This window comes from Homo sapiens, chromosome 6 (genome assembly GCF_000001405.40).
Source record: "Homo sapiens chromosome 6, GRCh38.p14 Primary Assembly".
In the NCBI taxonomy this organism is placed as follows: domain Eukaryota; kingdom Metazoa; phylum Chordata; class Mammalia; order Primates; family Hominidae; genus Homo; species Homo sapiens.
This window is the reverse complement of record NC_000006.12, coordinates 64,082,626-64,094,961: the sequence shown is the minus strand read 5'-3', so window position 1 is coordinate 64,094,961 and position 12,336 is coordinate 64,082,626. Positions and strand designations below refer to the sequence as shown.

The 12,336-nt window shown below is 36.2% G+C and overlaps 1 protein-coding gene across 2 annotated transcripts in view; it reads left to right on the top strand.

The window, feature by feature from the left end:
• Positions 1 to 12,336, top strand: part of EYS (eyes shut homolog) — a 1,987,247-nt gene that overhangs the window by 1,612,265 nt on the left and 362,646 nt on the right. The gene's annotated exons all lie outside the window — the stretch shown is intronic.

Here is a 12,336-nt window from a genome sequence, read left to right as displayed (position 1 = left end):
AACAAAGACACAACATACCAGAATCTCTGGGACACATTCAACGCAGTGTGTAGAGGGAAATTTATAGCACTAAATGCGAACAAAGGAAAGAAGGAAAGATCTAAAATTGACACCCTAACATCACAATTACAAGAACTAGAGAAGCAAGAGCAAACACATTCAAAAGCTAGCAGAAGGCAAGAAATAACTGAGATCAGAGCAGAACTGAAGGAGAGAGAGACACAAAAAACCCTTCAAAAAAATCAATCCAGGAGCTGGTTTTTTGAAAAGATCAACAACATTGATAGACCACTAGCAAGATTAATACAGAAGAAAATAGAGAAGAATCAAATAGATGCAATAAAAAAATGATAAAGGGGACATCACCACAGATCCCACAGAAATACAAACTACCATCAGAGAATACTAGAAACACCTCTACGCAAATAAACTAGAAAATCTAGAAGAAATGGATAAATTCCTCGACACATACACCCTCCCAAGACTAAATCAGGAAGAAGTGGAATCTCTGAATAGACCAATAACAGGAGCTGAAATTGAGGCAATAATTAATAGCTTACCAACCAAAGAAAGTCCAGGACCAGATGGATTCACAGCCAAATTCTACCAGAGGTACAAGGAGGAGCTGGTACCACTCCTTTTGAAACTATTCCAATTAATAGAAAAAAAAGGAATCCTCCTTAACTTGTTTTATAAGGCCAGCATCATCCTGATACCAAAGCCAGGCAAAGACACAACCAAAAAAGAGAATTTTAGACAAATATCCCTGATGAACATCGATGCGAAAATCCTCAATAAAATACTGGCAAACCGAATCCAGCAGCACATCAAAAAGCTTATCCACCATGATCAAGTGGGCTTCATCCCTGGGATGCAAGGCTGGTTCCACATACGCAAATCAATAAATGTAATCCAGCATATAAACAGAACCAAAGACAAAAACCACATGATTACCTCAATAGATGCAGAAAAGGTCTTTGACAAAATTCAACAACGCTTCATGCTAAAAACTCTCAATAAAGTAGTTATTGATGGGGCGTATCTCAAAATAATAAGAGCTATCTATGACAAATCCACAGCCAATATCACACTGACTGGGCAAAAACTGGAAGCATTCCCTTTGAAAACCGGCACAAGACAGGGATGACCTCTCTCGCCACTCCTATTCAACATAGTGTTGGAAGTTCTGGCCAGGGCAATCAGGCAGCAGAAGGAAATAAAGGGTATTCAACTAGGAAAAGAGGAAGTCAAATTGTCCCTGTTTGCAGATGACATGATTGTATATCTAGAAAACCCCATCATCTCAGCCCAAAATCTTCTAAAGCTGATAGGCAACTTCAACAAAGTCTCGGGATACTAAATCAATGTGCAAAAATCACAAGCATTCTTATACACCAACAACAGACAAACAGAGAGCCAAATCATGAGTGGACTCCCATTCACAATTGCTTCAAAGAGACTAAAATACCTAGGAATCCAACTGACAAGGGATGTGAAGGACCTCTTCAAGGAGAACTACAAACCACTGCTCAATGAAATAAAAGAGGATACAAACACATAGAAGAACATTCCATGCTCATGGGTAGGAAGAATCAATGTCGTGAAAATGGCCATACTGCCCGAGGTAATTTATAGATTCAATGCCATCCCCATCAAGCTACCAATGACTTTCTTCACAGAATTGGAAAAAACTACTTTAAAGTTCATATGGAACCAAAAAAGAGCCCACATTGTCAAGTCAATCCTAAGCCAAAAGAACAAAGCTGGAGGCATCACGCTACCTGACTTCAAACTATCCTACAAGGCTACAGTAACCAAAACAGCATGGTACTGGTACCAAAACAGAGATATAGACCAATGGAACAGAACACAGCCCTCAGAAATAATGCCACATATCTACAACTATCTGATATTTGACAAATCTGAGAAAAACAAGCAATGGGGAAAGGATTCCCTATTTAATAAATGGTGCTGGGAAAACTGGCTAGCCATATGTAGAAAGCTGAAACTGGATCCCTTCCTTACACCTTATACAAAAATTAATTCAAGATGGATTAAAGACTTAAATGTTAGACCTAAAACCATAAAAACCCTAGAAGAAAACCTAGGCAATACCATTCAGGACATAGGCATGGGCAAGGACTTCATGTCTAAAACACCAGAAGCAATGGCAACAAAAGCCAAAATTGACAAATGGGATCTAATTAGACTAAAGAGCTTCTGCACAGCAAAAGAAACTACCATCAGAGTGAACAGGCAACCTACAAAATGGGAGAAAATTTTTGCAATCTACTCATCTGACAAAGGGCTAATATCCAGAATCTACAATGTACTCAAACAAATTTACAAGAAAAAAAACAAAGAACCCCATCAAAAAGTGGGCAAAGGATATGAACAGACATTTCTCAAAAGAAGACATTTATGCAGCCAAAAGACACATGAAAAAATGCTCATCATCACTGGCCATCAGAGAAATGCAAATCAAAACCACAATGAGATACCATCTCACACCAGTTAGAATGGCAATCATTAAAAAGTCAGGAAACAACAGGTGCTGGAGAGGATGTGGAGAAATAGGAACACTTTTACTCTGTTGGTGGGATTGTAAACTAGTTCAACCATTGTAGGTATCAGTGTGGCGATTCCTCAGGGATCTACAACTAGAATTACCATTTGACCCACCCATCCCATTACTGGGTATATACCCAAAGGATTATAAATCATGCTGCTATAAAGACACATGCACACGTATGTTTATTGCAGCACTATTCACAATAGCAAAGACTTGGAACCAACCCAAATGTCCAACAATGATAGACTGGATTAAGAAAATGTGGCACATATACACCATGGAACACTATGCAGCCATAAAAAATGATAAGTTCATGTGCTTTGTAGGGACATGGATGAGTTTGGAAACCATCATTCTCAGCAAACTATCGCAAGGACAGAAAAACCAAACACTGCATGTTCTCACCCATAGGTGGGAATTGAACAATGAGAACACATGGACACAGGAAGGGGAGCATCACACACTGGGGCCTGTTGTGGGGTGGGGAGAGTGGGGAGAGATAGCATTAGGAGATATACCTAATGTAAATGTTGAATTAATGGGTGCAGCACACCAACATGGCACATGTATACATATGTAACAAACCTGCACGTTTTGCACATGTACCCTAAAACTTAAAGTATAATTAAAAAAAAGACAATGTCAGTATCCCAAGCTGTATTAAAGTGATATATTTTAAGAATTAATTAATTGGCACCTAGTTTCAATCACATGGTCATGTTTAAACAGCACGAGTCATGTTCTCAGTGCCTGATCCACCCAGCCATGATGGGAACAAGTCTGGGGACCATCAACGTAGAGGCCTGGGTCATAGCACGCAGCAGCTTAATTGTAGCTTCACATGTGAAGTCAGTCCTGCATGCCCTTTCTTAATAAAACTCTGCAAACATATTTTGCAAAATATTACTCATGTACCCTCAATAAAAAACAGAACAGAGTGGAACACTTTTAATTAAAGCATCACAGCAGCCCAGACCCTTGCTGGCTTTCTCTGTCTCTGGGAAAGGTTAATCTGGGGGTGAGGGAAGAAATTTTAGAACAACAGAGATAAAATAAGGACATAACCATTGACAAAGTATACTTTAAAAGTATTATAGTCTATATATAAATCAACGGCAATGTGTCTGAAGACTTCTCTGAAAGGGATAAATGTTTTCAAAAGATAAAATTACTGAAATGATTTAAGACGAGGTAAAGACCAATATGCTTTAAGTATATTAATGGAATCATTAATGTATGTTAATTACAATATTACAAATTTATTAATTTCAAAATTAATGAATGTTCAAAGTGCCAAGTAGTAGAGTGTGGCTATCACATGGGGTAATTAGGGAATCAGGCAGTCTTGGAAGGTGAGTTAAGAACAGTCTTCGATGCCAAACTGAAAGGGTTACTATTTGCTGCCAATGAAGGACCAGGGAAGACTCTTTAAACAGAATAAATTCAAATTTGTGTTTAAATAACATCCATTTGGCAGTAATTAACAGAGGAGATATGAAAGGAATGAAGACAAGTTAGGAGGTATTCAAATAGTACAGGCAGAAGAAGATGGCATTCCAAGTGAAGAGGAACCATTTGAATTAAATAACCAAATATAGAATGATGTGGTGAGTGGAAGGATGGGAAGAGGAACAAAGGAAGAAGTTTGGATGACTATGACAAAATTGTTATTTGAATAACTTGATAGATGGAAATTCTAAAATTAAACGCAAGACAAAAATTAGAGGCATGTTTTTTCAGCCATCAAACGTTGAGTATTTGCCAAAAATGTGTTATTTTCTGAGGACACACAAAAAAAATTAAGCCACTCTGCCTGCATTTAAGGAACTCACAGCTGTCACATGGTGAGTCATACAAAAAAAATGGACTATGCAGTTGAATAAGAGCTGCAATAGAAGTATATATTTGTGTTGATAACAAGAAAGGTATTATCAATTCTATATTGAAAAAGATTACATTTCAAAGAAGAAAAATAATAAAATGGGTTTAAATATGTTAAGTTTAGGTTACCTATATTTTTCCAAGTGAATCTGTCCATTAAACAGATGAATATGTTAAGTCAGGCTCTATCTATGTTAAAGATTAAAATCTGACAGTTTTCAGAAATTAGAAAGTAGCTAAAGTTATAGGAACAAATGAGATCACTCAGGGAGAATTTCTAAAGTAGAAAAGATTTAAGAATAGACTAGAGAGAGAATGGTAGCTATTATGGCATGTCAAGTACAATGAGAAATATTGATAGTTTTTCATACCTTTCTTGTCCTAGTTTTATTTTTCCTGCATTGAAGATCTTGTTGGTGTGCTAAACGATGTTTTATTTAGTAAGAGAAAGGAAGTGGGGTCAGAGCTTTGGGGCCTCAGATTTTTGACAGGATCAAATAGCAAATCATGATGATCAACTGTTAACAGAGAAATCAGGGATGAAAAAGTAATGCTAGATTGGAAGTGACAGTGAAGGATGAGAAAGGGTGTTCTAAAACATTGTTTCCTTGTGCATTGCTTTGGTCAGATGTAGAGCAGTTCTTTTCATGCTTTAAATGAAGGAATGAAGTAGGTACAATCAAAAGGAGAAATGTTAGTTCTGCTGATTTTTAGAAGTTCTCTTCTGTGGGGGAAAAATAGATGTAGCAAAAATAACAGCTGTACTAACAGCAACAAGAGAGTAGTAAATTTTTATCAGCACTTAACAAATTTATCAGTGTTTATGGATTAATAGAAATGTGAATGTCTAATGTGAAGAAATTATTCAAGTAAGTGTAATAATTTAGTCTATGAAACTCAAGTCATCTAAATCTAAATTTTTTAAATTCTAAAATAAGCAAAAATGTATAATGTGGTAAAAAAGTTTAGTATAATTTATATATACTATATTATAGGATATACAGTATTATATTTAGTGTTTGTACTATATGTAAATATTTAAGATATTGATAATCATAATTATAATCATTTTAATTGTAATCACTGAAAATTATAAATTGATTCTTATTTATATATAGTATTTAAAATTTCATGTATCTTGAGATTTAATTTTATAATATTATAATAAATGTAGGTAATTATAGTTTCTAAACCTTTGAATATTATTGGTTAGACTTATTTTTTTAATGAATGCTTCTTCAGGAAAGGAGATACATGGACTTATAAACTGGTGATATTCATTTAAATCACAGATTTTAATAAAATTAGACTCATAAGTGGAAAATGTAATATTTTTAAATTAAAATAATAATTGCATCATTTCAGTCACCTTCTTTTTTATAAACTTCGTCACAGAGTTTGTACGATGTCCTTTCTGGGGAAGGTGAAAAACTACTCAACAAAAACATCAGTAGTATTAATTTTTAATTTCTATTGAGTAAATCAAATCTATTTCCATTATAAAGAAATAGCAAACAATATTCTGTTTCTTCTGGTACCAAGAAATACAATCAACTTGTATATGAATAATTTGTGACCCATTGTATTTGTAGCTTTATGTGTATTAGTGTGTCAGACTCTGAGGTTAGCTAATAGAAGGCCTTTATAGAAGGCTAAGGGGATTTGTGCTGTAGACAAAGGGGCATCATTTCTATTCAGAATCACTAACTTTTATTCTGCTAAGTTGCGTTGTGTTCAGGGTAAAGATACTCATCTCTTTTGTGTTTTCTTTATAATATTCTGTTGTACTCTCTTGGATAAAATTTCAATGAGTTGTTATTGATAGTGGCCCTGATTCATACTACAGAACTATGCTTGGTTAAAAAAAATAATAAAAATGATAATCCATACTTTTAGCATAAGTTATTTCAAACTCAATACTGTGCTTTCATAGCTTCCTTTGCCAATTTGAGATTTTTTTTAATATAATTTAGGAACTTAAAAGATTCTCCATCTTGATTTATTAGATGTTCCCATGACTCAAAATTAACTTTATTTTGTGAATCATATCAAAGTTAATATAATTAGTTTGATAAGTCTATATGATCTTTTAAGACATTCAAACATTGCAGAGTATATTTTAGATGTCATTTTGTAGTCAGTACCCAGTAATTCAATACTATAAGTAATATAGTATACTATATGTAAGATGTTTAATACATGTTTCGTATAAAGACCTTGTTGCTTTTTTCATTTATAATTGGAAGAGAAATAAATTTGGAGTGTGTTCAAATAGCATCGCCTGAAGAGGCTTTTGGAAGCAGCGGGAAAACACTCTGCCTAACCCCAATTAGTCTTGTTTTCCATATTCAGGGCAGTTCTGTTTTTCAACATATCCACTAAACACGGTGATAATGAAAATTAATATGGTTAGAAAGCAATTCAATAGCAAATGTTTATTGCTTATAATTGTTGTTTCCTGTCATAATTTTCATAAAACCTGTCAGCACTGAAAACAGGTTCAAAGAGTGTGTGAGCCAGAAAGTAGGCAGGTGCACCTGAATTATATAATAGATGTGCTCCTGCAAAGCAACACGGAAGTCATTTTTTAGCAAATTGAATTATATTTTTATTGTACTTTGTGAGTTCATTGCTTCTCAGAATAAGTAAAACCTAATTATAAAACCAAATAATTTAATTCATATATAAACCCATATATAAAGACTATCCTTTCTCAAACATTTTCTGGTGGACTTATCAATAGTGTGAAAAGCCCTAACAACAAGAAAAATGCTGGAATCTCATCATTACCTTTTCTCATCCCATTTTATTTATAAAATATTTTTCTGATTTTTGTTTTCAAACTACCATGTATGATCATTTTAGTTGTATTTGTATTTATCAAAGAATATAGCATTTGCCTAACATGTGCAAAGTTGGACATGCCATAGGGGGATCAAAGGTGAATCAAACACAGATCTTTTCTTCAGAGAATGTATACTGTAGGAGGATAGATGAGATAGGCTTATGGACTTTCCTTTTTATCTAGTCTTCCATCTCACATTAGTTTCAATGCTCCTGGTGACAACAAATGTCAAGAAAAATGGTCAAGAGAACATGATGGCACATTTGTCCAGGACCTCCCAAAAACATGTGCAACTCCTAACTTGGGGTTTCCTTCTATGAAGCTAAAATCTAAGCTCCATTAGGGTAATCTTTATATATTTGCTCAACACTGTATTCCCTGATGAGTATTTGGGATGTAGTAGTCACTTGATAGATGTTTGTTGAATGCGTTGAATTCATTAGTGACTCCCAGTAAGATAGGCAAAAATAACACGAAGAAACTGTCTAAAACCATATCTATGGTAGAATCAACAGATATGCAACATCCAAATAGTTTCCAAGTTATATGCTAAGGATCCTATTTATTTACAAGCCAAGTCCATCTCTTTGTAAACTTAACCATTTTCCTCTACTAATGGTATCCAAATTCATATCCAAACTTCTCCTAGTGTCTAGCTAGTTACATTGCATCTTAACTTGATTGGTATATGGCTTTTCTTCTATCATTAAAAGTTGATGCATGTGCAGTTCAGCATCTGCAAACCTTCTGCTCCATAAGTGACATTCCAACTATGTTATAATCGTTTCTGGTCACAGGAAAGGAAACTCACCTCCTTAACTCATATTTTCCCCAGTGCCTTCTTAGAATTCATATGCTTAGGACATTCTATTTCTACTAATTAAAGTCACTTCACTGCCTTCATCCAAATTATTAGGTTTACTATATTATCAATTCTATATTTATGCCAACAATTGTAACGTAGGATAAAAAACAATACATAGACTAAAAAAGTTGCGGATACAATGCTTTGAGGAGTTCAAATTTGGGAGAATATTCAAGTAGGCCTTGAATTAAGGGAGAAATTTTATACCTAGGATTTGAGGAAGAACGTTCTACAAAGATAGAACAGTATGAACACAAGTAGAGAAACAAAAGAAAGTTGGTTCAACCTTAGCAGGAGATATGTATGTGTAGAAGCACTAAAAAGGAAGACCATGGAGGGCCTGGCTTACTTGATAATTATACTGTAGCCACTGAAGTTTTTGACCAAAGGTCTCAGGTAATTATGATTGAATAAAATTGACATGGCAGCAATGACAACTAATAGACACTGTAGGAAGGAAAGCAAGTTAGAAAGAAGCCACTGCAACAGTTCAGTTGAAACAATGAGAACTTAAAGGGTTGTGGTAGCAGAAGGAAAGACAAAAGCTTTGATTTAAGCAAGTGTCAGGATCTAGCAACTAGTTTGGGAAGAGACGAGTAGATAATGATGCTGAGTTTCTAAGCTTGGAACACTAAGTACTATGAGTTAGAAACTGAAGGAGCAGCAGATGTAGAAAAGTCAGAAATGATTAGAGGACTCAAGACAGAGGACAGAGCCTTGGAAACTATGTGTGTTATAAAGTGGTTGAAGAAACAGTCTGCAAAAGGTAGGTAAGAAGACAGCCAAAGTACAGAACAGTGTCATGAAAGACAAGGAAAGAGAAAGTTTTAATAAAAATGACGGCTTAGTATTATGGAGATTTCTAGGCATCAGTGCTCATAAGCACCGATGAAGAACTTGCTAACAAGGCCTTAATAACCTTTGAAAAAACAGATTCAATAAAATGCAGAACCAGGTAGGTAAATTTCTAAGAGTAAAAGATTGTGTGTAGAAGGCCAACAAACGGTAACTTTTGTGATACCATATAACTTAAGTAAAGCAGTTTAATAATAGTTAAGTTGTATTGTTTATACCTGATTCTAACAACTAACCTTCACAAGTTATAGGCATAAACAGGATATTAAAAATAAACTTTCTTTTGCACAACAGGATATAACACTGTAAACAAATGAGGTGCCATACCTAAAAGCAAGATTTAACTAGAAAGTATTCTTGATTTAAAAAGGGTATGTATTTGGACCAGAAGATTTTAAGAGATAATTTTGAGAAAATGTTTTTGAAGAAGGCTATCTTGTGGACTTCACTCCCCACCCTCTTCCACCCACCGTACCTGACAATGTGTTTGGAGATAGCTACAGCTGGATCACTTAGAAAGTAGCACCATGGACTGTTGACCTATAGTCATACATTCATAGCTGAGCTAAAGCAGCACTGTGTGTGTGTGTGTGTGTGTGTGTGCGCGCGCACGTGCGCACGCGCGCGCGTCTGGAAGGAGAAGGAGGGGGAGAGAGAAAGAGACAGAGGGCTGGGCAGGGTGACTCACGCCTATAATCCCAGCACTTTGGGAGGCCTAGGCAGGTGGATCACTTGGGGTCAGGAGCCCAACCAGCCTGGCCAACATAGCGAAAACCCATCACTACTAAAAATGCAAAAATTAGCCAGACATGGTGGCATGCACCTGTAATCCCAGCTACTCGGGAGGCGGGGGTTACAGTGAGCAGAGACTGCACCACAGTTGCAGCCTGTGCAAAAGAACAAGACTCTGTCTCAAAAAAAACAACAGAAGAAAAACAGAGACAGAGTTTGGTTGGAAATTAACTATACCCCACATACAGTAGGGCAGGAGATGACCAGGAATTTAAGAGTCTTTACCACGGACTAGATATGTACCCCTCAGGAAAAGCAACTGGCCTGAAGTCATTTTATGTTCTTCCCAAATGCTGCTTGTTAAGTGACTAAGATGGCCTTAACACTCTTCTTAGCTTAACTAAACTTTAGAAAGGTTTCTTCCTGACTAGGTCCTTGGAGCATTTACTTTAGAAAACTTTCCGTATTACATTATTTCTCTGTTGCCTTTGAAACATAAATCTTTTAAAGATCTTGTCAGTTTTACCAGCCAGGAATCTTTCTTAAGGTTCTTGGAACCACTGCTCCCCCAAAATGTAATCATAAAAGAAGACAGCAGCCCATCTGTCCACCTCTAGGGGAGGGTATAAGACTAACTTCAATGGGTGCCTTGATTCCTAGTTGTAAAACTATGTCCTAATACAAAGATAAGAGAAAGTTTACTTATCCTTTGAATAAAGCCAATTAGCAAACACAGACAGCCTGTGTTCTCTCTCACTCCAGCTCTTAAAAACTCTCCCACCCTTTACTTTATTACAAAGCAGTTGAGCTCAGACTGAGTTCTGACCTCTCCCTTATTGCAATAGCCTTGGGAAAAGTCATCCTTGCCTACTTAACTTAATCTGTGCAATGTTTGCACTGACACAGGCAAATCACTGTCAACAACAAGAGTTTGAAAAATCAGAGCAAGACCAAGATAGAAGTGACAAGAAAGAAGGCAGGGTATGGCTGCAAATCCTAGGCGTGGCAGTTGACAAAGGTTTCCAAAGATTGAATAAATGCTCATGAGTCATAGTGTTGCCAGATCTAGCAACTAAAATTACAGGATTCTTAAATTTAAATTTCAAATAAACAGCACTATTTTTAGTATATTTCATGTGATGTTTGAGACATACTTATACTAAAAACTTATTTAGGCTGGGCACAGTGGCTCACGCCTGTAATCCCAGCACTTTGGGAGACTGAGGCAGGTGGATCACCTGAGGTCAGGAGTTAGAGAGCAGCCTGGCCAACATAGTGAAACCCCGTCTCTACTAAAAATACAAAAGTTAGCCAGGCATGGTGGCACATGACTGTAATCCCAGCTACTCAGGAGGCTGAGGCAGGAGAATCGCTTGAAGCCGGGAGGTGGAGGTTGCAGTGAGCCAAGATTGCACCATTGCACTCCAGCCTGGGCAACGAAGCAAGACTGTCTCAAAAAACAAACAAATAACAACAAAAAACTTATTTGTTATTTATCTGAAATTTGAATTTAACTGAGCATCCTGTATTTTATCTGGCATCCCTACCATGAAAGAAACAACCAGTTTTAAACATGTTCCCTTCCTAAAGAGCAAGATGCCTGGTTACAACAGTACAATTGCCATTTCTAACAGCTCTTCTTTACTGTGTAGTCTTTCCTTTCCACCCCACCTTACTTTCTCCCCATTCAAAGCTGGAAGGGTCAGAAACAGCAGCTAACCTTAGGAGAGGTGATAAAAAGAAGAACAGAAACCAGGTTACTTCTGCCCCTCAAGGAAGACAGCAGGTGTCAGGCCACCCTACAGAGATAGGCTGGTGAAGGAGGATAGGAGAAATCATATCTCTGATGGAAGATTTAACTGTTACTAAATTTCTTAGACTGGATATTAGTTTCTCACTCACTGTATGACTTAGAGAGATGGTAAAAATAATCGGAAATACTAAATTTCCGTCCAGTGGCAGAGAAAATTCCCCCCATTGTGAGAAAGACAAAAAAGAAAGTTGGCTGGGCATGGTGGCTCACATCTGTAATTCCAGCACTTTGGGAGGCCAAGGTGGGCAGATTGCTTGAGCTCAGGAGTTTGAGACAATCCTGGGCAACATGGTGAAACCCTGTCTCTACTAAAAATACAAAAGTTAGCCAGGCGTGTTGGCACACACCTGTAGTCCCAATTACTTCAGAGGCTGAGGCAGATGGATGACCTGAGCCTGAGAGTTTGAGGCTGAAGTGAGCCGAGATTGCTCCATTGCACTTCAGTTGTGCTGATAAAATGAGACACTATCTCAAAAAAAAAAAAAAGAAGTTGCATTTTCTTTTTTTTATTACCAAATGTTAAAGAAGTTGCATTTTCAACATACCATGTGTTACACTTGTTCTATGTACCAATTATATTTTAATAGATATGAATATAGATCTATAACAATGAAATGTTTTAAATTTTATGTGCACCAAGATTTTGTGAGATTATTTAAAATACAAATAATTCTATAAGTCTAAAACTAATAACCTTGCATATTATAGTAATACTACTTATAAAATAACTAAGTATTATTGAAAAGCACTAAATATTAATGAACATTAATAAA